General features: G+C 43.4%; 1 protein-coding gene and 1 long non-coding RNA gene across 42 annotated transcripts in view, besides 3 other annotated features; one reads left to right on the top strand and one right to left on the bottom strand.

The window, feature by feature from the left end:
• Positions 7,143-7,292: an enhancer, noted in NCBI's record as "active region_8541". NCBI's record gives its function as "activates an Ori minimal core promoter by ATAC-STARR-seq in GM12878 lymphoblastoid cells {active_cell/tissue: GM12878}" and the evidence as "EXISTENCE:reporter gene assay evidence [ECO:0000049][PMID:35858748]".
• The window catches only part of MAX (MYC associated factor X), a 96,595-nt gene continuing 76,936 nt past the window's right edge, over positions 7,379-27,037 (top strand). For 7 of the 41 annotated variants that reach the window (NM_197957.4, NM_002382.5, NM_001320415.2 and 4 more), the window contains exons 1-3: positions 7,557-7,770; positions 8,502-8,528; positions 16,259-16,366. In NM_197957.4, coding sequence (NP_932061.1) covers positions 7,735-7,770; positions 8,502-8,528; positions 16,259-16,366 — 171 coding nt within the window. In that variant the 5' untranslated portion in view covers positions 7,557-7,734. Of the gene's footprint in view, positions 7,771-7,790; positions 7,969-8,389; positions 8,529-16,258; positions 16,367-25,774; positions 26,331-27,037 lie in introns of those variants that run through there. The other 34 variants (NM_001271069.2, NM_145112.3, NM_001407108.1 and 31 more) reach the window with 17 other exon arrangements.
• Positions 7,623-7,972: a silencer, noted in NCBI's record as "silent region_5847". NCBI's record gives its function as "represses an Ori minimal core promoter by ATAC-STARR-seq in GM12878 lymphoblastoid cells {active_cell/tissue: GM12878}" and the evidence as "EXISTENCE:reporter gene assay evidence [ECO:0000049][PMID:35858748]".
• Positions 7,986-8,486: an enhancer, noted in NCBI's record as "H3K27ac hESC enhancer chr14:65568306-65568806 (GRCh37/hg19 assembly coordinates)". NCBI's record gives its function as "activates a minimal SCP1, AML or CMV promoter by ChIP-STARR-seq in primed H9 embryonic stem cells {active_cell/tissue: H9 hESC(primed)}" and the evidence as "EXISTENCE:reporter gene assay evidence [ECO:0000049][PMID:30033119]".
• On the bottom strand, positions 15,763-20,156 carry MAX-AS1 (MAX antisense RNA 1). The gene is made up of 3 exons (NR_045122.1): positions 20,055-20,156; positions 19,427-19,539; positions 15,763-16,442 (listed from the first exon to the last, which is right to left on the bottom strand). It is a non-coding gene; the product is annotated as an MAX antisense RNA 1 (long non-coding RNA).

The raw sequence follows: 27,037 nt of genomic DNA, 5'->3' as shown, positions 1-27,037 counted from the left end.
AAAAAAAAAGTTGTTTTGAAGAGGTAAGTCTGAGGTGCTATCTCCTAACAGGAGATAGTTACTGCCTCAGAGGTAGTCTGAGATGATATCTCCTAACAGGAGATATCAAGTGCTATGGATGAATGGAGGGCTTCAAGGAAGGTCTGAGCTAGATGACCATCAACATATACATGACAGTGGACATGAACATCTAGAGGAAAGAACTGAACCCCAAATATCTCCAGCAACCAATCAGGTAGAAGAGTCAGCAAACGTGGCAGTGAGATAAGAGTAAAACCACTGAGTGCAAAGCCTTGTATACCTGAATAAAGACACCCCAGGATGCAGAGGGACTAACTTTGAGGAGCTTACAGTCAATCTAGTGCAGGAGAGAGACATGCAAACAGGAAGTCACAAAACAAAAATAGTCCTATGAGAAGGAACGCACCAGGTGCAATGGGAACAATACATGGGCACCTAATCCAGCCTTGGAGAATCCCGGAGGACTGCCAGGAAGAGGTGATGGATAAGCCCCAAGGATGAGAATAAAATGGAGATAAGTAGGAGGAGTTTGGGGGAGATAACACTCAAGGCAGAGAGCGCAGCACGTGGAAATTCCTGCAAGCAAAAGAAAACATGGTCCTTTGGGGGAAAGGCAAGAAATTCTACATGGCTGGAGTGTGGAGGATGAGAGAGCAGGAGCTGAAAGATGAGGTTGGCACAGGAGTCAAATCATGGAGGTCCTTAAGTGCCAGACTAAGGAGGCTAGGCTTATCCCCAGGTCACTGGGAGGGAGTGAAACATTTTATCGACTCAGTGAAGATACTTCATTCTGCACAGATCACTGTGGCTACTGGTGGAGAATGGCAGGTGGCATGGAGACTCACCAGGGGGCTGTGGCCCACGAGAGATGGCGGAGGCCTGAATGAGACAGGATCTGCAGTGGAAACAAGGGGTGTGAAAGGCCTGGGACATAGCAGGCTTGCTGAGTGACTAGATGAGGGATTGGTAGGTGAGGGAGGGATTTTGAGGTTGAAGAGGGCCAATAAATAGCATCCAGGTCTCCTACCCCGAATTTGGAACCAGTTCAGACAGAGACACAGTCAGACAGATGGAAACAAAAGTAGTAGCTTCATTATTGATAAGGCTTAATTGGAGAACAAGGTTCAGCCTGTGTGGCTTCCCTGACATTTCTTTTTTTATTATTTATTTTTATTATTTTATTTTATTTTATTTTTTGAGATGGAGTCTCGCTGTGTTGCCCAAGCTGGAGTGCAGTAGCACAATGTCAGCTCACTGCAAACTCGGCCTCCCGGATTCACGTCATTCTCCTGCCCCAGCCTTCCAAGTAGCTGGGACTACAGGCATGTGCCACTACGCCTGGCTAATTTTTGTATTTTTAGTAGAGACAGGGTTTCTCCATGTTGGTCAGTCTGGTCTCCAACTCCTGACCTCAGGTGATCCACCCAACTTGGCCTCCCAAAGTGCTGGGACTACAGGTGTGAGCCACTGCGCCCGGCCTTCTTTTTGTTTTTTCTTCTTTCTTGTTTTTTTTTTTGAGACAGTCTTGGTCTTGTCACCCAGGCTGGAGTGCAGCGGTGTGATCTTGGCTCACTGCACAACCTCTGCCTCCTGGGTTCAAGCAATTCTCCTGCCTTAGCCTCCCATGTAGCTGGGATTTCAGGCGCCCACCACCACACCCAGCTGATTTTTGTACTTTTAGTAGAGACGGGGTTTCGCCATATTGGCCAGGCTGGTCTCGAACTCCTAACCTCAGGTGATCTGCCCGGCTCGGCCTCCCAAAGTGCTGGGATTATAGGTGTGAGCCACTGCACCCGGCCTCTTTTTTTTTTTTCTAACCTTTTTTTTGTTTTAGTTTTGTCTTTGTTTTTGTTTTGAGGCAGGGTCTCACTATGTTGCCCAGGCTGGCCTTCAACTCCTAGGCTCAAACTATCCTCCTGCCTCAGCCAAGTAGCTGGGACTACAGGTGTATACCACTGTGCCCAGCCTCCTTAATATTTCTTGAATTAACTCTACCCACACAGTCATAGCAAAACTGGGCAAACATGAGCCCCCTCCCCAAGGACAGCCCCCCACAGAAGAGGGGAGCCTCTTCCCCAAGGACAGCTCCCTACAGCTCAGGGAGAGAGGGCTGAGCCACATGGGACCAGTTTCTCCTTGCAACTCACCAAGTTGATGATTCAGTCACTCACCCACCAATGGGAAATGAAGGAGAGGGCAGAGAGGCCAGAAGTATTCCTCCCATATTTTCCCTTTCCTGTAGAGTAGATTGGAAGTTCTCAGCCTTCTCTAAAAATGCGAGAAGAGGAGGAAAGGGTCCCTCACTGTGCTTAGAGATCTTCCATTTGGCCTTCTAGATCCAACCACTCTGGGCCATGGGTCTAAGTTCTTGTTCTTGGGATCTCTCCACACACACAGTCCCCCAACCCCCCAGTTCTGGTCACCACTCTGTCCCCTCTCCCCTGTAGGCCTCAGGGTGAGAACAGATTCCCAATGGTACTGTGCAATCCCTTGAAGTTTCTTTAGAGCCTGCCCACATATTTGCAAACAACCTCTTTATTAAAAACTCAAACAATCCTAATTTGAGTGTGTCAGCTGGTTCCTGTGGGAAACCTTGATAGTCACACTCCTTCCCCCAGATAAAGAGAAAGCAAGCACAACTGACATGGGAAATGATTAGGACTGTCTTCCTGTGGGTTATGGCTTGAGAAGTTTGCTGCTCAGGAAAGATAGTGGGCTTATTGAGATAGCAGTTGTCTTTTAATAGCTCTACTATTTTGGTGAGAATGATGCTACTCAGTTAAAAAAAAATCATTGAAAATCCCACCTCTCGGAAACAAACACTATTAAAATGTTTTCTCTTTGTGTGTGTGTGTGTGTGTGTGTGTGTGTGTGTGTGTGTGTGTGAAGATGAAGATCTCCTTATGTTGCCCAGGCTGATTTCTAAGTCCTGGCCTCAAGCAATCCTCCTACCTCAGCCTCCAAAGTGCTGGGATTATAGGCATGAGCTACTAAGCTCAACCAGCTATTAAAGTTTTTGATTAATACTATTCTACATATTTCTCTACACATATATGCTCCTACAGATATACTCGATTTTACATGAATGAGTCACACTCTAAATGCTGTATCAAAACCTGCTTTTGGCACACATGTTCTCAGGATCTCTTGAGGGCTGTGTCACAGGAAATAAAAAAAGAAAGAAAAAAAAGAAAACCTTGCTTTCTCTCACTCATCCATAAGCCTTGTGTTTTGAGTTTCCTGTGGAATAATTCAAGTAAATGTGTCCAGAAGTAAATTGCATATAACAATCTAGAATTAAAAAGAGAGGTGTGGTCTTGGGGTCACCATCAGAGAGCTGGTCACCAAAGCCTCAGGAGGTAGAGGGTCCTAGCAGGCAGAGGGTGGAAGACAGAGAGGCAAGTGCCAACCAAAAGGTCCCTGGAACGCAAACAGTGATGGTGGGAAGGAGAAAAGCACAGGAATTCTTGGCCTTCAAGAGAGGGGCGGCCAACAGCGTAGATGGCCAACATCAGGTCAAATAAGATAAAGGCTTTGGATTTGGCAACAAAGTGGTAGCTAGTGGCCTGGAAGAGTGATTTTAGTCAAGTGGTAGTGTGGGAGCCAAACTGTAAAAGAGCTAAAGAGATAATGGAAGGAATCCACCTGCTCACACCACCGCTACTCCACTCCCTCTTCATCACAGCTCTCAGACTCCAATGTGCATATGAATTACCTGGGCCTAATGTTATCATGTAGATCTGATTTAGTAGGTCTGGGTGGGGACTGAGGTTCTGTATTTCTTACCAGCTTCCTTGTGATGTGTTTGCAGTGCAGCCCCGATAAGCTCACCTGGGGTTTTACCAAAGACACTCAAGTGTGGATGAAAATGAATTCTTGCGGTCCTAGATGCACCTCAGAGAAACACTGAAAAGGAACACTAAGGAAACTTCTCATCTGCCTCGTTCTTTCCTGTGTGTATGTGCCTCACTCATGAAAATCCCTACATTTGGGTCATTTGAAAGTTTGCTTTTTTTTTTTTTGAGACTGAGTCTCACTCTATTGCCCAGGCTCACTGCAACCTCCACCTCCCAGGTTCAAGTGATTCTCCTGCCTCAGCCTCCCGAGTAGCTGGGATTAAAGGCGTGTGCCACCACACCTGGCTAATTTTTGTATTTTTGGTAGAGAAGGGATTTCCCCATGTTGGTCAGGCTGGTCTCGAATTCCTGATCTCAAATGATCCTCCCGCCTTGGCCTCCCAAAGTGCTAGGATTATAGGAGTGAGCCACTGTGCCCGGCCTAAAAGTTTCTTAAATCCCAAATGTATGAGACTTTTCTAGTTAACTTTTTGTTATTTTTCTACTTTAATTGCACTAGGTCCAAGAATACACTAATATTATAGTCCTTTAAAACTTGTTGAGATTTGGCTGGGCAGGGTGGCTCACACCTGTAATTCCAGCACTTTGGGAGGCCGAGACAGGCAGATCACCTGAGGTCAGGAGTTCGAGACCAGCCTGACCAACATGGAGACACTCCATCTCTACAGAAAATACAACGTTAGCCGGGCGTGGTGGCTCATGCCTGTAATCCCAGCTACTCGGGAGGCTGAGGCAGGAGAATTGCTTGAACCCGGGAGACGGAGGTTGTAGTGAACCGAGATCACGCCATTGCACTCCAGCCTGAGCAACAAGAGCGAAACTCCATCTCAAAAAAACAAAACAAAACAAAAAAAACCACTTGTTGAGATTTGCCTTATAGCTAAGTACATGGTCAATTTTTGTAAATGTTCCATGAGTGCTTGAAGACAACATATTCTACAACTGTTGGGTGCAGTGTTATGTCTATTAGGTCAAATTTCTTAATCAGGTTGACAGGTCTTCATATTCTATTGATTCCTAAAAGGAGATGTGTTAAAATCTCCAGTCTCCCTACCAGGAAAGCCTTTCCTCCTCACCTCAGTCCACGTTATTCACGATAAGCAAAATGTTACGTGGCCTTTGCAGACCCAGCCCTTACCCTAATGCAACTGACAACCTCAGAAGACTTCCCTGGTCACCAACACCTCCCCAACCCCACCTCATACCTGGCACTCCTTCTTCCTCCTCTGAGCTCTTACAGCATTCACTGTCTATACAAACAATTTGACACTTACATAATTTGTCTTCATCACAATTATTTGAGTTGATAATTTACTCCTGTCAGGTTTTAAATTCCACATGGGTAAAGATTATCTTATTTTTCTTTTATAACAGTTTTATTGGAATATAGTTATTGACATACCATAAAATTCACTCTTTAAAAGCATACAGTTCAATGGGAAACTATCTTATTTATTCTGGCATCGTCTATAGCTGTGGTTCTCAGTCTTGGGTGCACACTGGAATTACTGGAAGAGCTTTAAAAAATCCTTCAGTCTGGAAAAAAAAATCCTTCAGTCTGGATCTCCCCTTCAGAGGTTCTGGCTTAATTGGTTTGGGGTGTGGCCTGGGGATGGGAACTTTTTTAAGCTCCTAGGATGATTTTAACTTGTAGCCGGGGTTGCCCTAGAGTGCTCTGTTCATAGCAGGCACCCAAGAACTGTCTGTTGTAATCATCAATTAGCTTTAACTTCTAGTATCCAGTTAATTAACTCACTCAAAAGTGGCCGTCTGTCTCCCCAATAGCCCATCAGCTCTTATCACATAATGGTCTGCTTATATCTGTCTCCCCAACTCAGCAGGAAAGGAACACTATGAGACAAAAGCATGTAGAAAAGGTAAGTTCACTTGCAAAGATGTGCAGACTTAGTAGGACTGGATCACTGAATAAGAAATACAACAGATATTAGACCGCGAGCGGTGGCTCACGCTATAGGCGTGAGCACGTGAGCACTTTGGGAGGCCGAGGCGGGTGTATCACGAGGTCAGGAGTTTCGAGACCAGCCTGGCCAAGTTGGTGAAACCCTGTCTCTACTAAAAATACAAAGATTAGCTGGGCGCGGTGGCGGGCGCCTGCCCCAGCTACTCGGGAGGCTGAGGCAGGAGAATCGCTTGAATCCGGGAGAGGGAGGTTGCAGTGAGCCAAGATTGCGCCACTGCACTCTAGCCTGGGCGACAAAGTAAGACTCCGTCTCAAAAAAAAAAAAAAAAAAAAAGAGAGAGAGAAAGAAATACAATAGATATTAAAGGAAAAAATGTAAAGGAAAAATTACCACATTTACATTTGTCTTTTCAGCATAGATGACATGCTCACGTTGAGGAATGTGTGTCACAAGAATTGTGTGTGACATATCCCCAAATTTCCACATTCAAAAGTCAGGGATAATATGGTATTCATCCGGGAATCAGTAACTCATGGGAAAAGCTCAAGATGTCATTCACTTTGGAGACCAGATGTAAAGGAGTAGTATGGGTACTTTGTCTCAGGGTGGAAAGTGTCTGTTATGGTTTTCTTCCTTCCCATGGGACTTGTTGCACACTCTTACAATGGCGGCAGGACCGGCACGCTTGCTTGCACAGCTGTGAGCTGCATGAAGGCAGGGATGGTTTTGGTCTTATCCGTTATGGCATCCCCTTGTGGCAAGTTAGGTGTTCAATAAATATCGGTGGAATGCATGTGATTACACTTCATGCCACAGTATATAAATATGATTTTAACTGGACAGGGAACTGCAAAAGTTTCCCATATTGATCCTTTTTGCAATCTTAATTATGGTACTCTGAGCTGGGATATTGCCTAAACTGTCTGGGCTACAACAAACTCTGAAGGGGCTTTTACTTCCACGTCCATAGTGGTTGAGGGTTCGCGTTGTGTGAACGCTGGAGCCTCACGTGAGTAGCTGAGTAGCGAGGATGGTCACTCCCAGATAAACGAATACAGGATTCTCGCGGCTGGGAGCGGTCGCCCGGCGAGGTCGGTCATTCTGCCTGTCCGGTAGCACCACGAAACACCTGCCACTGACACCTCCCCACCAGCCCCCGAGGGTTCGCGCAGGCATCCCGAGCCGCGCCCCCTGGTCCGCCGCAGCCAGATTCCCTCCCGGGCGGGTTACGCCCCTAGGCGCAAAACGGAACCACTCCGTATGAAGAAGACAAAGTATAACCAGTCACACCAAAGAGAGGCAGCATTATTTAGACAGCCGGCTACTCCCCCAGAGACTCCACCCAGTCCCCTGGGCCCGGCGTCCAGCGCGCAGACGGTGCCCGGCTCCAGGAGTTCCAGCTCCCTCCACGTGTCCTGTCTTCCCAGCAGCCTCCTCTGCCGCCTCGGGAGGAAAATCTCCTGACAACTCGCGGTCTGCGGACTACGACTCCCAGGAGGCGCCGCGCCGCGGCTCTCCCCGCCCCCCCCCGCCCCCCCCCCCCTCCCCGGGACGCGCAGGCGCCTTGGGCTCCGTCAACAAGCCGGGCTGGCGTCGCCTGGATGCGGTTTCTTCCGGGATTTGTAGTTTTTCTGGAGCTACCCGGGCCGTCTGTTAGAGGGACAAGAACTACAAGTCTCGGCTGCCCCAGCGCTGCGAGCCTGGTCACGTGGCGGGGGCCGACCGGGCGTGCGTGCCGCCGTTGATCCGGTGCTGCAGTGAGGAGGTGGTTCTTGCCCGTGTTGTGTGTGTGTGTGAGTGAGAGAGCGAGTGAGTGAGTGAGTGAGTGTGTGTGTGGGGGGGACTCGGCTTGTTGTTGTCGGTGACTTCCCCCTCCCCTTCACCCCTTCCCCTCCCCGCCGCCGCTGCAGTGGCCGCTCCCTGGGCCGTAGGAAATGAGCGATAACGATGACATCGAGGTGGAGAGCGACGTGAGTCCTGGGGCTTCTTCCTTCCCGTGCGGGTTGTCAGGCGGGGACAGCGGCCGGGGCTCTTAGCGGGGCGACGGCGGGAGGGGGCCGGGCTGCCGCCGCCTCCTTCCCCTTCCCCTCGGGGCCAGGAGTGCCTCCGTCGCGTTCCCGGTTCGCTCCCCTCCGGCTCCTGGCCGGAGCGGCCTCCTGGGACTGGAGGTTGGGGGAAGACACGCGGCTTCTGGGACCCCCACCTCCTCCCTTGCGGGAGGGTGCTGCGGCCTCCCGCTCCCACCTTCCCCGGCTCAGGATCCGGGGGACAAGGATGGGGGGCGCCCGGGATCCCATTGTCCGGATCCAGGGGAAGGGGACGGCGTTCAGGACCTGCCCCTTCGGACTGCGATCCTCTCCTCCCGTGACCCGCGGATCCTGGGGGCCGGGGAAGGGCGGAGAGGGGTTGGGGGTGCCTAGATGCCCGAGCTGGGTCTGCAGGGAGGAGACAGTGCTCGGGACCCCTCTGGCCCAGGTCGGATCCCGGAAGGAGGGGCGGCGCTCGGGACCCCTCTACCCTGCTACCGGATCCCGCCGAGGGTGGAAGGGTGGGGGCAAGGGGTGGGGAGGGAGGAAGGGGTGTCGGGCTGACTCCCCACCCTCCGCTTCCTCTGCCGCCGGCATTTTCTTTCTTATTATTGAATGTTAAGTGTAAAAATAACTTCTATATTTTCTATTTTTTTTTTTCTCTCTTATTCCAGGAAGAGCAACCGAGGTTTCAATCTGCGGTACGTCTCCTACTCTCCATTTCATTTTTATTTCCGTTCAGTTCTATTCCTTTTTGGGGTCAGAGAGAAAAAGAGATCGTACTATTACTTTTAATATTGTAGTAAACTCTAATGTTAACCACTAAGGTGAGGTGGGGCCTGGTTCTGGAGGGTGGGGGGGTTGCAAATCCCATTATTCTAGATTCTCAGGTGATAAGTTCAGTGATTCTAGGTGAGTAAGAGGAGCTGTATGCAAAGAATTGAATTGTTCTGTAGTTTTCAGATAGGGGATCCAGATGCCACTATGTAAGTGGAAATGAGAAATGCAGCATTCTGGTCTGGTAGTATTATTTCAGGGCAAAGTGGTCAGAAGATTTATTTAGGAACAAGTAGGTTTTAAACCATATCTGTATAATTGTGTGAAGCTGAAGCCACATGCGGTAATCGCCTTTAACCAAGTCATGTGACTGCTATAGACCCGTAGAATCTAGCACAACATGGTATTCTAATGCAAAAATTGGAAATGTAGAGGAGCCAAACGTTACATCATCAAAGTGTCACATAAAGTTATTATGGTCTGATTCTCTGTATTTGAAGAAAAGGTATAAAGAAAATTAAAAAATAGCTGAAGAAAAGTGGCATTGCAGAGACAGCTTTGCTGAAAGGTGATGGATGAGACCATAGAGTGTTATCAATAATTTCTTAGGGTTTTGATATTAATGTTCTCAGTAGATGGTTCTGTGGATTTAGATAAGCACTAATTCCATGTCTTTGGAGTCTGAGACAGTAATATGGATGTTTCATGAATAGATTTGAGGGAAAAAAGAATACACACAGAATAAATCAGAATCAGCGAGGGGAAGAGAAATAAGTATATCAGAGTGTCTAATATTTGATAGTTGGGAGCAGTAAGAAATGTATAGAATGGGGGTAAAAAGTTCAAATGCCCATGAGGGCCATAAAGAATAAAGAAGGAAGAGGTGAGGGCTTGGGTACTGGAGAGCAGTGCCTCTTCTAAAAAGTCAGCACTACTGAACTCCAGTGGTTTGTTAGTAGGAGTGAAGGGTCAGTATTGCCAGATCTTCCTATTTTTAATTTTATTTTATTTATTTATTTTTGAGACAGAGTCTCACTCTGTCACCAGGCTGGAGTGCAATGGCGCTATCTCGGCTTACTGCAACCTCCGCCTCCTGGGTTCAAGCGATTCTCTTGCCTCAGCCTCCCGAATAGCTGGGACTACAGGCGCGTGCCACCACACCCAGCTAATTTTTGTATTTTTAGTAGAGACGGGGTTTCACCATGTTGGCCAGGCTGGTCTCGATCTCTTAACCTCGTGATCTGCCAGCCTCGGCCTCCCAAAGTGCTGGGATTACAGGCATGAGCCACCACGCCCAGCCGATCTTCCTATTTTTTAAGAAAGATTAGAAATCTAAAACTTTATGTTATTTTTCTGATTTTTAAAATGATGTGTGGAACAACTGTTTGGGGGCTTGTTAGAATTTGCAGGATGTCACTTTGATACCTCTGGTATAAGAACTTGATAACCACAGGGTAAAGGCAAGCCATCTCAGTTATACCTGCTCTTCATTAGAGCAAGCAAAGATTGTGCAGGTTGTCTAAGCAGATAGGCATTAAGAAAACTTATTTATTGAGAGCTGATATTTCCATAAAATCCGGGGATGTAGTTGTTCCAAAAGTCTTAAAAATTATCCCTGGGTAATAGTCATTAAAGATAATTTGTTTTATTTTATTTATCCTTGAAGTATTCTCATATACTTATGCATATATTTGAAAATTGAATTCCTTTTTCACATTTACTTTTATCCTTCATGTTTGGGGCCTAGTCTGTTGAAAACTTTTTTTTTCCCTGCAAGTCTCCAGTTGTAAAATCTGTGCTAGGGCTTGATCAGAGCTGGAGGGTAAGGATCGTTTAGCCTTCCTTTGCAGAATTATCCTTTGAATTGAAATTATACTGACTTCCCAGTAAGAGAAAGTTGTGTTTTTTTTGTTTGTTTGTTTGTTTGTTTGTTTTTTTGGTGAAATTTTGGCTCGCAGTTCTTGAAAGCTTTCTGCTTTTCAAAATTTTCATCCATATGATCGTTGATATAAATTTGTTATTAAATTATTATAATGTTTCTGCTTTCCTGGAATGCTAATCTCATTGTTTTGTCTAGATGTTTTTAGTTTGCTGTTAAGGTGCCTAGGATTTTTCCTTTTGATTTTGGGGGTAGGCAAAGGAAGTTGGTTTGACACTTTGTTTTTAATTTAACACATCTATTTGTTGATATTTCTAAATATTACTCTGCACAATGTAATTACAACAGCATGGAGAGAAAAAGCAGATATGTTATAAACAAATTTTATAGTATATCAAACAACTATTGTGACTGTGTAGGGTAAAAAGGATTCCATTTTTTCCCCTCTGTGAATGCATCTGCTTACTTCTCAATATTTAATATGGATAATAAATATATTTTTTAAAATTTAAGAGGGAGCTATTCTTAAGTTTTGCCTTAGAAAAAAGGTTTAAAAAAAGATGTGGACTGTGAACAACCAAATACTTAGGTATTCAGGACTACAGAAGATGTTGAAAAAGTTATTTGAAAAGGGTTCTGTGGATCCTAATATAAAAACATTCATGTATGTTTTATAATGTCACTACAATATATAGGCCTTACTACATGAGAAATGTAAGATACTGAGAAGAGAGTTAGGAAGTTAGGCTAACTCTAACAGAAAGTGAAACTGATTTGGCAAATATTTTTTTCTATTGCTTCAGTACAAACGGAAAACAGCTTCTCCAATGGCCAGTAAGCTTTGTTAAAGGAAGTAACCCCAAAGAGTATTCTTACTACTAAATTCAGTACATCGCAAAATCCCACTGATGTTATTTTTATTATATTTTGGAGGGAAGAGGTTGCATTTTAAAGATAAATTTGTGGGACAGGTATATTATATTGCAAGGGCTTCCTTTTGCTTTATTTCTGTTTGGGAAATTTCTTTAGGAAAGAGTGTAAGTATACAGGAAATGTATGGGTTAGTGTGTTGGTCAGGAAATGCAATTTTTTTTCCAGTGACCATCCTTGATGGCACCTGACTGAGTTGCAGTTGCAGTATACTTGTGAGGGGTTTGAAAACAGATTTGTGCAATTCCACTTCTGGACCTTTCTGGCATGAAATATTTTTAACTTCTCAGAGCTCTTTGCTTCTTTAGGAATATTCAGAAGAGAACGAGCTTGGTAGCCTCCGAGATTGGAATTCACTCAGGAAACTACTGTCTGTTTTACCTGCAGTCAGTTGCATGGCAAAAGTGCTGCACAATGCATGTACTTTTTCTCTGCTTAGAGTGTTGACAGTGATGCTTACAGTGATAACAAATGCCAGAGTTAGTTCCTAAATGTGCCTGTGTTAGGGTAAAAGTTGTTCTTATGTCTAAAAGAATTTTTCCAAGATGCCAGTAACGGTGAAATAGTTGGTCAAAGAATTCAGCTTGGTTTTTAATTAAAATTTCCTGACCAAGGCATCCTTCTCTGAAATGGCTATAGTATGAGGCCCTGTTTGGATTATAGCATTTGCCAGTTATTTTAGGCACCAAAAGAAAAAAGTTTGAAAACAAATACATACATTAGATAATGTTGGAAATGTATACCAGGCAATCAGCTACAAGCAGGACAGGTATTGGAAAATTGAAATCCATGTCTTTCTCTTAGGGAGCTTGGTGAGTTTATCCCATCCTACCTGCCTATTATTTTATGTTATAATTTTTGGGTTGATTAAAATGAATATTTTAAGTTGCTTAGAAATTGAGCTTTATCCTATCTTGTTCTTATCTATCAGAAGTAAGAAATAGATCTTTTCGGATGAGATTTTTGGGTCTGTGTATTCTCGTGTCCTTAGTCTCTAATAAGAATAGCTTGATAAGAATCATAAGCAACACAAGCTTCCCTCTAAAATACAACCTTCACATTTTGTAAAGGTAGTAAATATTGAGTGGGCAACTAATTCCCTATATGCTGAGAATTTTCTGTATTAGAATTGAGATGGTTCCCCTTATAGGTGGGGTTAGCTGTCAGGTAGCCTGTAAGACATGGCATTGTTCTGGAGAACCTTGTGCATCCTGGAATAATGAAGCATTTATTTCCCCGTGCTATTTGCCTAGAACTTGGAGGAAATAAGATTACTGACTGATGTGATGCCTTGAACAAAGATGCAGTCTCTCTGCAGTAAGTTGGAAGGAAATAATTTTAAGAGATTTCCCTCAATTTTGAACAGACCTCCTTAGCCTAGATGACTTCTTGCCAACATAGCAACTTCTTGGCTAACAAAATAATGTTTGTCTTCAACATCTAACAACACTTAAGATACACGTGCTTGGTAGTGTCAAAGATGGACAAATTGTAGGTGAAGATTTTTATTCTGTCTACCAGTGTGGAAAGTTGGGTAGAAATATAACTGAGAGGCTGAATAAAAACTTTGGCAGAGATGTCAAAGCTGGAAGTGATTTGGTGCGGGAGTTTCTGTTGAGCATCTGTGGACCACTGCATAGCCCCTTAGTATTTCTGTTAGGGATGCCCTGGAGGAAGGGTTTTCTGGCAGACATCCAGACGTACAAATCCAGCGTACTAGAAGAGTGGGCAGCATCCAGCCACTGTAACCATAGGATGTGTAGGGGAGATGTTTGGGAGCCTGCTGTACAGTCCAAGAATACCTCTGTGGTCTCCTAGAATAGGGCCTAATTAATTCCACAAGGGGGTTTTCCGTACCATTTGTTTTCATTACTGAACATCATTCTCAGTACAGGCTCATCTGAGTAGAGTTTTATTTGTTCAAGACAATTGTTTGGGCTTGTTTTTTAAAACCAGTTTTGCATTTGGGGGAGGATATTAGATGCCTTACACTGGGAGTCTTCACCCAGTTTTTCTTCTTCAACTCTGAAATCTTGGCCCTCTCAAAAAGGGTTGCCAGCAAGCAAAGACAGTTAACAAGGCAGTGATAAAGCCTGCAAACTAGTCCTCCAATGGGGGTGGGGATGAGGCGCGGGCAGTGTTATTGGTCTGGGTGGATCTGTGGTTTGGAAATGTTTCCCACAGAGAATTCTCAGCCTTGTGTAAAGGTTTTTCTGTTTTTCATGTGCTCTTTCAAAACATTAGTGATAACATTTAATTCACAGTTGCCTGGAATTAGGCTTGTTAGTTCTGCATGTTTTTAACTTGTTCTTTCAAATCAAGCTTGGGGAAGAGAAAAATACATCCTTGCCATTGTCTCTGAGAGATTTAAAATTGACTCCACTAGTAGCTCAGGGATGGACATGGCAGCAGGGATTGGTGTAAGATTCCACTCTTCTGCTAGTTAAATTGGGCCTGGAACCACTACAGAAATTCCATCCACTACTTTGAGAACAACAGTCCCCAGCCCAGGCTTTCTACCAGGCAGTGGACTGCTGCCTTTCCTTGTTGAGCCAACTTCTCAAACTTGGCTGGCTCCCCAGATGAGAAGCCAAGATTTCTGCTCATGATCTACAGCCAAGTTCACTTACAATCCTCCAACCGAGAGACTTGTCCATTTGAGTCCTTTCAGAGCTCAGTGAATGGGAGGGGGTAGTGCATTGTGGGGATGATTTTGGTGTTAGATTATACTTAGCTCCACCCCTTTAGTGCAGGTCCACGTGAAACCAAGTGCAACTTCATTCTAGCTGTTTGAGATTTGCAGGGCTCTCCCAGAAAGAAAACAGACAATTAGAATTTTATTTGTATCAACAAGAGGGATTGTGGGTAATTCTGGTGCACAGCTCTTAGCTGGGAGGAGGGCCAAGAATCAGGGTGATTTAGTAGACAGGAGTATCTTGGGCTGCTCTGGAGACCAAAGATGGGCAATTAATTTGCATGTAAATAAACCACCTTAGGTAGTATATAGCAAACAGGAGCCGCAGACACATGCCAAATATTGTCTCTTGGCCTTTAAGCTCCTTAGGTATAGTCGCAGCCCAACTTATCTTTATGTAGATGATCAGAGGGAACAACAGTAAGTTCAAAAGGACTAGATACTTAAATAGGTTCAATTCTGTCGCACTATTTCATGCTACTGTTAGAAGGCATCTATAATTTTGCGCTAAAGTTGTATGATACAGAGTACCTACCTCTACCCTCAGGTTATGTGGTGTTCCAAACTTGACTGTCCTCTCAGCTTCATATTTCATGTCACTATAGTTCAGTAAACATTCATTTTACAGTGAATCCAGACTTAACAAGATTAGGACAACTTTAGAAGTGCTCCAGGCATCTGCCCCAAAAAGAGAGATATGCTATGGAGAACCATGGTTGTCATGGGAACCACATGTCCAGTTCAACAGAGCTGTAGGTGAGGTATTATGTTTAAGAGACCAGGAAGTAACTCAGATGACTACAGGTGCTCCCAGTCTCCTCTTCCTCTGTAATGACTGGGACTTTTAGGATTAAATAACAGGAGAATTTCAAGTCCTTTCGTTTTCACAACTCTTGATAGATTTTTGTCTGTACATCTTCTCTAGTACAAGGATTAATGTGAGGCAGCATTATTCTTGTGCTAAGCCAAGTTATTTACTCTTGTTCCATTTTTTGAATTTCTGGCCCTCTGTTTGTATAGATTTAAGCTACCTGAACTTCCCATGTACAGACTGGCTCTCTAGATTAGCTCAGTGCAACGTTGTGCATTCAAGGTGAATGTTCAGAGCATAATTTCCGTAATTCCTAGAGTGTAGGTGTGATGAAGTTCTTCTTGCTTTGGGTTGTTTGTGTTCCATTTGGAGGGGAGACCCCTCTGATGGGGACCTGCTGAAGTGCTCTTATCATGCTCTCCAGCGCTATCTCTTCTGCCTGAAGCCAGAGCATTTTGCCATTCCTGATTTGGTGTTGGCAGTTTTGGTCCATCTCCAGCTGACCGTTCTTTGTGATTCCAAGCAGGCTAAGGCTTTGACTTGGATATTTAGATACTGCCAGTTAGCCTGACCTGCCACAGGTACCTGAGAGAATTTATTCTGAGTATGTGGTGTCAGAAGTTGTGCCCTCTAAGAACTGCCTGTCAGGCACTGCCTGTGTGCAAGGAAGCCCTTGGCAGGATAGCACCTTGGATCTACTTTTAAAAAATAGGAACTCAGAATTCAGTTGTCATCTTATCAGCTCTGTCATAATGATCTCAGATTCATGCATCTAGGTTTTATAGAGGTTTTAGCTTCTGTTGTATGATTTGGTGAGAAGGTCTTAAACTAGTGCCTTTTAGTGGGCTTGGGACTCATGGTGATGGTTTCACATTAAAGAAGCACCAGTGACTTAACTCTTTCTTCCCCTGGACACCCATCTGGGGAATCTCTTACAGTGGAGGTGATCACATCTTAAGAAGGGGCCACTGGAGCTTTCTCTAGTCACTTCCTAACCACAGACTGGTGGCTCTTCTGTCACATAAGCAAGTTGGGGGGGACCACTGATGTTACAGGAGAGTCACACTTTGTCCCCCTGAATAACTTTTATTTTACTTATGCATGAGCTGGATGCATCGAGCTACTTTGGATGTTCCTGTCGCAAGCGTTGCTCACCCCTTTCTCCCCCTTTAGCAGAGCCTAATTCTGGAGACTCCTAACTGCCCACCTCGAGAAATCCTTCCCAGTCCACTCGCCAGGGACAGTGCTGACAGCGTGTACTTCCAGGCTGTACCCCACCCACCTTGTACCAAGCAAAAGGAGTGACATTCCTAATGTGTTCTTTCTCCCATTCTTCTAGGCTGACAAACGGGCTCATCATAATGCACTGGAACGAAAACGTAGGGACCACATCAAAGACAGCTTTCACAGTTTGCGGGACTCAGTCCCATCACTCCAAGGAGAGAAGGTGAGTTTCCTGAGAAAGCTGAGTAGCTGGCCACTACTAGCTTGGAACTTGTTGCAGAGCTTAGCAGAGCACTCACCTATTGGGAAGGAAATGTAGTCAGAGATATTCAGGTAGCATGGTTGCCTTATTTTTGACTGTTTGGAGGATCACTGCACACCTTACGTACTCCAGTTTATCCTTAACAAAATATGTCAGATATAATGGAGCTATTTGTGAGATAATGGTAGGAGTTATCTTTTAAAATTTGTATTATTTGTAATAAATTCAAGAAATTATAACTATACACTATAGTATAAAGAGTGGCCAAGAGTTCGTTTGGGATAACAGTAAAGATTCCAGAGGTCATTAATACCCTAGACCTCCATGAGAATTCCTTTCCTATGGTTCAAAGTTAATACTTTATTGTAAATGAGCACTTGCAGAAATGTGTGTAATGTATGTGAAAAACAACCTGGGCACCATTGATTTTCCAGCCCCAATAATTGTTATTTCCAAGGCGTATAAAGAGCATTTTAAGCTGTGGGACAAAAGACTTGAGTGAAGAGACATGTTCATGTGAAACAGAAAAAAAATAACCATTCTTCCCCACTCCCTTCTGGAACCTAGTGTTTTCCCTGGAGGGCTAGGCACCAGCTGTTTCTACATTTGAAAAACAAAATTAGAAGCTTTGAGTAAAAGCCTATGGGTTAGGGTCACTCCCTGGAATTTGGAGAAAACATCTGCATGGCTAGTTCCATCCTTGACAGAGAGTGTAGTTGTCTGTAGCAATTCATTGGAATAACTGGCAAGCTGGGAAGAGGACCTGTGTTTTTGCTTTAGTGATCCAGTGTTTTATAAAGAAGGAACTATTCTGTTAAGAACAATCTTTGCTTTTGGGTGCACTTTGATTTAGTTCTGTGGTGGGGGTCCTGGATTTGTTTGGTTATCCAAGATCAAATTTGGAACCCTTATGCTTTCATTTTTTATATTGTCACTCTGGTAAGTTATGGCCTCTATACTTTATCTAAGGTGTGGCTTTCCATGTGGCGTAAACATGGAGAAGTTCTGACCTTTATAAAGAACAAAACAGGCCATGTACATACCTGGTATTGCAAAACCAGAATTTGCCATGGGTTAAGCCTACTTAGTGTGGACTTGATTTAATGACCTTAAACCAAGGTACTTACCTGGAATAACAACCTTCCTGGGTACAACACTAAGTACCACGGAAATCTTTATGACTAGAGACAGACTCACCCCTTTAGTCAAAGTAAACACATGCCAAAGATTATCTCTTAGGCTTCTTTGACCTGTTGACAGTTGGTGCTTATTCCTGTACCATAGTATCAATTAAAATTGCTTTGGTAAACTATATGGAAAAGAGCTGCCTTCTCCTAAGTCTCACCTAACCAGGAGTGGCACTGGGGCAGTGTTTCTCAAGGGGTGAGTTGCGGACCACCCACATACGATTCACTACTGAATCAGCCTTTCTGGATGGAAACCTGGGAATCTGTATTTATAACAAGCAGTCAGATGATTCTTAGGCATTCTTAAGTTTGAATACATTGGGAGAGGTGGGTCATAGGATCACAACTATACCTTTTCCTTATCCAGCCTATTTTACAATGCCATAACATTCTTCCTTAAGTCCTTATAATTACATTATTCTAAATCCTATTTTCTCCTTTCTTTCTTCAAGGAAGTTAAAGGTTTGAATTTGGTAGTCTTACAAATGGAATAGTCTGTCATTTGTTGTGGCTCATTTATTTACTCATTCATGCCATTCAACACATACTTACTGAGGGTCTGCTACATGCCAGGCACTATCCTAGATACTGGGAGTACAGCAGTAAACAAAACAGACAATAACAGGAGCTCTTGCTCTGATGAGGAAATGATTAAAAAATGAAGTAAGAATTTAAAATATATGTATTATGTCAGGTAAGTACCATGGAGAAAAACAGAGAAGAAGAGTTGCAATTTTAATTATGGCAGAGAAGAAGAGTGTTGCTGGCAAGGTGACATTTTAGCAAAGCTTTGAACAAAGTGAAGCAAAGAGTAGTGCATCTGTCTGGTAATGAGCATTCCAGGCAGAGGGAATGCAAGTGTGGTAGCACTGAGACAGGAACCTGTAAGCATTCCTGGGCCAGGCAGGGAAAACAGAGGCCAGAGTGGGTAGAGTGGAATGAGTGAAGGGATGGTGGCAGGAGATGCTGGCAGAAAAGTAGCAGGACTAGGAGAGAGGAGTGGTCCAGGGGAACCAGATTCTAGAGCCAGTCAACAAAACCCCAATTTGAGAATTTACTAGATACCATTCTAATTTCAGAATCCTCCTATCCTGTGTTATAATCCAAATATGTCCTACTGACAGTGAATGAAGGAAATGTCTATAAGCTCTCAACCTCTTCCTCTTTAAAAAGCGAGCTGCCAGCGCTGTTTCATAGGTGCCGTGAGTCGAACAGAATATTTTGGTCCCTTAGACTTATCAGTTCTCACTAAACCTGGCGTTTTTTTAAGTGTGGTATTTGAACTAAAGGAAATAGGCTCATTCTTAGATTGTGGTAATTAAGGTTATGACATTATGTAAATAATCATGAAATGATTATTTTACCATGTGAGTTTTGGGAAACTTAGATTCTTAAAGGGAAAGCCTTTGATTTGGGTCTCTCTGTGTTCCAGTCTCCTTTGACTTAAGCATCTTTATGTTTCAGCTGACTTCTCCCTTAGCATTTGGATTATCTGTCATATGCGTCCTAAGCCTTTTGTTTTTTAAAGAGAAAGCAATATGTTAATTGAATTGGATCCTAACCAATAATAGGGGATACTTGTGTAAAAAAGAAAGAAAGCTTTAAATGTGGGACCCAAACTCTATTTACCCTTTGTTTTCTGTATTTCTACTATAAATTAAACATTTTAAAAAATGGTTGGCTGGGCATGGTGGCTGATGCCTGTAATACCAGCACTTTGGGAGACAGGCAGGTGGATCGCTTGAACCCAGGCGTTTGAGACCAACCTAAGCAACAAGGCAAAACTGCATCTCTACAAAAAATACAAAAATTAGTTGGGCGTGGTGATGCTTACCTGTAGTCCTGGCTACTTGGGAGGCTGTGGTGGGAGGATCACTTGAGTCTGGGAGGTCCAGGCTGCAGTGAGCTGTGATGGCACCGCTCCAGCCTGGATGACAGAGTGAGACCCTGTCTCAAAAAAATAAAAAATAAGAATTACCTTTTTCTTGAGGAAAAAAATCAGTAATAATTGACATTGTATTGCAATGTAAAATTAAATCCACACAGCAGTTGTATAAGGTATGGTACTGTTATTTGACAGTTAGTTATTACTGCTGTTGCTCCTGTCAGTGTTGTTAACAGGCTCAAGATCACTATCCCATCTGTAACAGGACAGGGGCTAGAACTCAGGATTGCCAGTTGCAAGTTCCATCTTTTTCCTATACCATATGTGTAAGCAGTTTAAGGATATTTTAAAGAAATCTTGCTTAAATACTTGTATCTTGTCATTGTCCTGGGAGCTTCCCCTGGATAGGCCTATTAATCTTGGCAGTGTGTCATACCACGGCTACTACAGAAATGCTATCCTCTGAGGTGGCGTATGTAGGTAACACTGAAATGCAGGGTATTAAGGATCATTTAAAGCCTATAATTTCTTTCTGAGTTCACATAGTTGCTCTGAGCTCAAGAAAATAGACCATTACAGTTGGTGGTTCATTTGGGTTTTGCCATAGGTCCCAGAGTTAGCAAGTAGACCCTCGAACTCTGTTGTTTGAGTCTTTTGTGTTCCTTGCAGTTTCTCAACTGTATGTGGAGTTCCACTGTTGTTCCACTGGGAACAATAGGATGGAATTAGAATCATCAGCCAGCCAACCAGAGTAATGGAGTAAGGGCAAGATCAACTGTGGCCCCCTCCCCGCTTTTTTTTTTTTTTTTTTTTTTTTTTTTTTTTTTTTTTTTTTTTTTTACAGAGATGCTACTTTTATAGAAAGTATTATTTAAGTGTCCTTGCTTGGGTACTAGGGAGTGTTACACAATGGTTCACTGGCACTAAGCTCACCATACTTATGTTGGGGAGCAAGACCTGATAGCCAGCCTTTACATGGGAGTATAATTCTGTCCTCCATCTCATAAGCCCCAGTACCTGAGCCAGAATGATTATAACCAACCACACTGTCTCTTTATCATGGATGGCTTTAGCAGTAGGTTATTTTCATCATTGCCATTTGTAGCTCTACAGTGGTTTATAGTAATTTCTCATCTTTTAAGTCTCTCCCTCAGTGCCTGTTGTTATCAAACTCATTGCTCTCTCAGGCAGTTGAGCTCTGCATTTCTCCCTTATGGGGAGAGCTGTGTTGGAGAGAGAGAATATAACTTCAAATGAAAATAAAGAAAAACAGAATTTCTTGATTTTGAGGTGAGAATTTGAGGGCACTGCCTCTGTCAGTTCCTATCACAGATTCTGGCACATAGTAGGTTCTCAGTTAGTAAATTGTGGTGGAGAGAGAGAGCCAGAGGAAACAGCAGGCTTGCTCAGCCATTAAAGAAAACAGCAACAGTCAATATTATGTGCTCAACTATATAAGTAAGACCTTGTGAGTGCTGTAGAGGTTAAAAGACATAATAGATGGTGTCTACCCTTGAGGGTCTTGCTCTGTTGTTGGGAAAGAGGATTACATCTAACAATTAACAATAATGAGATAACATGCTGAGCATCAGATAAGAGCTTTACATTGAGTTAATCTCAGTTTCATTTCCATTAAAATCTGGTTTTCTTAACAGGTAGATGTTGAAACCAAATATAATAGTTCCCTTATGGCAGGGAACATGATTCTTAAGGATAAAGGCTCTCATAGCATTTATACTTTTATGTACACACATTTATATATTATACTTAATATATGAGGTTTTATATATATTTGTGTGATTATTAAATGACTGTCTGCTGGCACTACACTACAATAAGTACCGTGAAGGCAGGGAGAATGTCTCCTTTTGGTTATATTTCTTCCCTCAGTGCCTGCACATAGTAGGGAGCATAGTGAATATTTATTAACTGAGGGGAGGAATCCCCCATCAACCTGGCCACATTATTTTGGGAGATGGCTCATTCCTGTTGATGCGTTTAAGGCTGACAGTTCATTCGGTAACCTATGTCTATAGCATATCTGAGCTGCTAGAGGGATTGTCGTTTAAATGAAATGTAAACTATAGCCCTATCCACTTCTCCTCATTACTCATTAAGGTTATATTAGCTAGTCAGACTCCAACTTGGGCAATTATCTTTTTAAAGTTTCTACATCTTAAATTGTTGCCCATAGTTGCCCAAGTCTCCCTTAGGCTCCAGGCTCAGCAATTGTAAATGCATTTAATTTCTTATAAATTATTTGCATGCTGCTGAAAACCTCCAAGGGCTTTTCATTGCCCATTTAGGTAAGGACTGGTATTCCATGTTCTGTAAATAAGATACCCAGCTTACCTACCTGCTTTTTCGCCTCCTTCCTGACATTAACCTTCCAGTTACTATACACCCTTGTATTAGTCCGTTTTCGTGCTGCTGATAAAGACATACCTGAGACTGGGCAATTTACAAAAGAAGGAGGTTTAGTGGACTTACAGTTCCACGTGGCTGGAAGGAAGCCTCACAATCATGGCGAAGGCAAGGAGGAGCAAGTCATGTCTTACATGGATGGCAGCAGGCAAAGAGAGAGAGCTTGTGCAGGGAAACTCCTGTTTTTAAAACCATCAGATCTTGCAAGACTTATTCACTATCACGAGAACAGCATGGGAAAGACCTGTCCCCGTGATTCAATTACCTCCCACCGAGTTCCTGCCACAACACATGGGAATTACAATTCAAGATGAGATTTGGGTGGAGACACAGCCAAACTATATTATTCTGCTCCTGGCCCCTCCCAAATCTCATGTCCTCACATTTCAAAACCAATCGTGCCTTGTCTTAACTCATTTCAGCATTAACTCAGAAGTCCACAGTGCAAAGTCTCATCTGGGACAAGACAAGTCCTTTCTGCCTATGAGCCTGTAAAATCAAAAGCAAGTTAGTTACTTCCTAGATAGAGTGGGGGTACAGGCATTGGATAAACACAGCCATTCCAAATGGGAGAAATCGGTCAAAAAAAGGGGCTACAGGCCTCATGCAAGTCCAAAATCCAGCAGGGCAGTCAAATCTAAAAGCCCTGTAATGATCTCCTTTGACTCCATGTCTCACATAGAGGTCATGCTGATACAAAAGGTGGGTTCCTTTGGTCTTGCATAGCTCTACCCTTGTGGCTTTGCAAGGTACAGCCTCCTTCCTGGCTGCTTTCACAGGCTGGCATTGAGTGTCTGCAGCTTTTCCAGGTGCACAGTGCAAGATGTCAGTCAGTGGATCTACCATTCTGGGGTCTGCAGGATGGTGGCACTCTTCTCACAGCTCCACTAGAGAGGGCCCCAGTAGAGACTGTGTGGGGGCTCTGACCCCACATTTCCTGTCTGCACTGCCGTAGCAGAGGTCCTCCATGAGGGCCCTGTCCCTTCAGCAAACTTCTCCCTGGACATACAGGTGTTTCCATACTCCATCCTCTGAAATCTAGGCAGAGGTTCCCAAACCCCAATTCTTGACTTCTGTTCACTCCCAGGCTCAATACCATGAGGAAGCTGCCAAGGCTTGGGGCTGGCACCCTCTGAAGCCGCAACCTGAGCTCTGCATTGGGCCCTTTCAGCCACGACTGGAGTGGCCGGGATGCAGGGCACCAAGTCCCTAGGCTGCATACAACCTGTGGACCCTGGGCCCAGCCCACAAGACCAGTTTTTCCTCCTAGGCCTCTGGGTCTGTGATGGGAACAGCTGCTGTGAAGATCTCTGACATGCCCTGGAGACATTTTCCCCATTGTCTTGGGGATTAACATTCGGCTTCTCATTACTTATGCAAATCTCTGCAGCTGGCTTGAATTTCTTCTCAGAAAATGGGATTTTCTTTTCTATCACATTGTCAGGCTACAAATTTTCTGAACTTTTATGCTCTGCTTCTCTTATAAAACTGAATGCCTTTTACAGCACCCAAGTCACCTCTTGAATGCTTTGCTGCTTAGAAATTTCTTCCTCCAGATACCCTAAATCATCTCTGTGAAGTTCAAAGTTCCACTTATCTCTAGCGTAGGGGCAAAATGCTGCCAATCTCTTTGCTGAAACGTAACAGGAGTCACCTTTGCTCTAGTTCTCAACAAGTTCCTCATCTCCATCTGAGACCACCTCAGCCTGGACTTTATTGTCCATATCATTATCAGCATTTTGGGCAAAGCCATTCAACAAGTCCTTAGGAAGTTTGAAACTTTCCCACATTTTTCTGTCTTCTTCTGAGCCCTTCAAATTGTTCCAACCTCTGCCTGTTACCTAGTTCCAAAGTTGCTTCCACATTTTCAGGTATCTTTTCAGCAGTGCCCTACTCTACTGGTACCAATTTACTGCATTTAGTCCATTTTCATGCTGCTGATAAAGACATACCTGAGACTGGGCAATTTACAAAAGAAAGAGGTTTAATGACTTACAGTTACATATGGCTGGGGAGGCCTCACAATCATGGTGGAAGGCAAGGAGAAGCAAGTCACGTTTTACATGGATGGCAGCAGGCGAAGAGAACTTGTGCAGGGAAACTGCTGTTTTTAAAACCATCAGCTCTCACGAAATTTATTCCCTATCACAAGAACAACATGGGAAAGACCAACCCCCATGATTCAATTACTGCTCACTAGGTTCCTCCCCCGACACATGGGAATTGTGGGAGTTAAATTCAAGATGAGATTTGGGTAGGGACACAGCCAAACCATATCAACCCCTCTTCTGTTTGCCCAGGAATTTCATTCTCAGCTTATCTGAGTGCTTTGCTTTTCTCAAGGTCCAACCCCAGCCACACTGCCCAGGTGACTTGGGGGTTCCATATTGATGAGCCCTGCTCACAAGGCCTACCTGCAGCCTGTCCTCTATTTCCTGAGTTCCCCCCTTCCCTCAGTCTCCAGCTCCTTGCCTTAGAGGCCAATATCAAATACTGCCCCTCCCTTAGAACTCTCCCTTGAACCTCTGTGGCCTTTTGTGGGACCTCTCCTCAGTCTCCCTAATTTCTGTGATTAACTTATCACCTAATTAAATGGTATGCTCCTGTAGGGCAGAAATCTAATTATTCCTTCTGGGAGACTGTCATACAGAATGAGAGAGGTCTCACTCCCCCAAGAGTACTAGAGAGCTCTTCACCTAACATTTTTCGCATCTTGAGATTCGGAAGGATAGAGATTGATTACTAGGCCTTGCCTTTAGCATTTTTGTTTTCTCCAACAAAATTGCAAAAACTTTAGAAAAATGGGAAGAAGAAAAAACATGAATCCCTCCTTCCTCTAACACAACTACAGCCTTCCCTTTGGCTATGACAAATGCTGCCCAACAGAAATTTAGCATGAGTCACAATTGCATTTTAAATATAACTTAAATACAATTAAATTTTCGAGTAGAACCAATTAAAAAGTTAAACAGGTGAAAATTTGAATAATATAATTTATTTAGCCTAATATTCAAAAGTAAGTATGATCTCAACATGTAATCAATATATTTAAAATTATTTATTCACCAAGTCTTTAAATTCAACTTAACAGCACATCTCAATTCAGAGTACTCACATTTCAAGTGTTTATTAGCCACATGTGGCTAGTGACTATCAGATCAGATAGTATAATCCAAAAATAGACTCTCCGTACCCCCCCTGCCCCATTTAATGTGACTAAAATTAGACATCATCTTAAAGTGGATGTGAAAAGAAACCTGCCTCCTTTTTTTCTCCCCAAAAGCTGCTATTGTTCAATCCATGGATTTATTGATGGAGTCTAACAAGCAAGGAAATATAGTGTTATCAATTTGTGTATTCCTTCCTGGTCTCTTCATCTACATGCTCCCCACAGGGAAAGTACTATTTATAGCTTGCTGCTTTTACATAATATATTTTTTCGCTAGGTCATACAGTGTGCTCATGTTTAGTCATTAGGCATGTTTCTTTTGGGCAATTGGGGTTGCATTCAATTTTTAAAATTTAAAATTTATAATTATAATATGGACATCTCTGTATATGTAGCCATTTCCATAGACTCCAAGAAGTTGGATTTCTGGGTTGAGGGGTGCGAGCATCTGACCTTTTTCCGTGTGTTGCCAAAATGCTTTCCAAGAGGATTGTTTTTATATCCTCTTTCTTCCATTTCTTTCTTTTTTTCAAGCAAATTCTAAAGAGTAGTCTTTTGGTAGTGTTTTGAGAGTACCAGTTTCATTATCACTGGAATTTTTTTTTTTGGAAGAGGGTAACTAATTCAGTAAACAAAAGTTAGTAATTTTGTATTCTATTTATTACTTGTGAAATTAATTGCTTTTCCACATGTTTATTTACTAGCTCTATTTCCTCTTTTGGAAATTGTGTACTCCTGTCCTTCATCGTCAAAGTTTGATGCAGAAATGCCACACCTTCATTTCAAGCTACCAAGTGCACAAGAAAAAAGAATGCAAGATTTAAAAAATGATTGTTTTGACCCCTTACACAAATGTCTTACTCCTGGCTTTAATTAAGCTGCTTGAGGGCTGATAGCTCTGCCTTACCCTGGTAATCAGCAAAATGGTCCTGTGGCTGGGGAGGCCCTGGCAGCAGGAAGCCTTCAAGGAGCCATGGGTCTGTGCTGACTCTGGCCTTACAACCTTCCAGCCTCCTTTGCTGGCATTGATGGGGTTCCATTTTTGAATGAACTAGTTTAATGTGGATCCAAATTTATTGTGCATATTCTTTCGTTTTGGTTTTCAAAAGATGGCTTATTCACATGGAAATGTACACCAGTTTAGCCCTGGGCCCTCCCTTTACCTTCATATGTGTAAAAGCTTACACAGGTTTCAGAAAATAAATGGTTTCATTTTCTCTAAAATAACTAGTACAAAATAAAACAGATGTCAGTTGTTGAGTCCAGCAGTACCTCTTTTTTCATCCCTCCAGATATGGCATTTTGGTTCTTAGGGGAACAAGACAGCTGTAACATCAGCCCACTGGCATCTGTTTTGGGCACTGAAGAGGAAAAGTGTTCAGTAGAGTTAAGATTATTGTTTCTCACGTCAGCATTGGGACCCTAGGGAAGGGCAGTGGTGTTCCTAATGTTAACAATCTAGCACTACTATTCTTTTCCTCACCTCTCCCCACCCACTTTCTAAAACAACTTGAAGTTTTACAGAAATCCAAGTTACTGTGATAAAATTTATAACTCCAGAAATATTTGGAACTCTTGCCTTACATTGAAAATTTTTGAGAACCATTGCTTTAAATGAGATTTAATAACCTTGGACTTCGTCTGAAGCATCAGTGCTAACAACTTCAGGAGTCATTTGGGGCCTTAAACGGTTCTATTTAGAATCCAAGTCTTTTGGGTCTGAGGCCTTTTGTGACATATGTAGTCAGTTCTTGCTGTGATGTGTGGGGTGGGTGGATGCTGTTCAAAAGCAGAGGTCTGACAGTGGGTGCCTCTGCTTGAGAGGGTTGGCCTTCCCTCTGTCTGCTTACTGCCTTGGGAGGGAATGCAAATGGACACGTAGCTGCAGCATAAACAGTAGGAGGGACAGGAACCTGGCAGACCCTCTGCCACACCCTGGGTCCCTTCTACATTATTCATTTTGCTTT

Source organism: Homo sapiens, chromosome 14 (genome assembly GCF_000001405.40).
Source record: "Homo sapiens chromosome 14, GRCh38.p14 Primary Assembly".
NCBI classification, from domain to species: domain Eukaryota; kingdom Metazoa; phylum Chordata; class Mammalia; order Primates; family Hominidae; genus Homo; species Homo sapiens.
The sequence above is the reverse complement of the archived record's forward strand: the minus strand, read 5'-3'. Positions and strand labels throughout refer to the sequence as shown.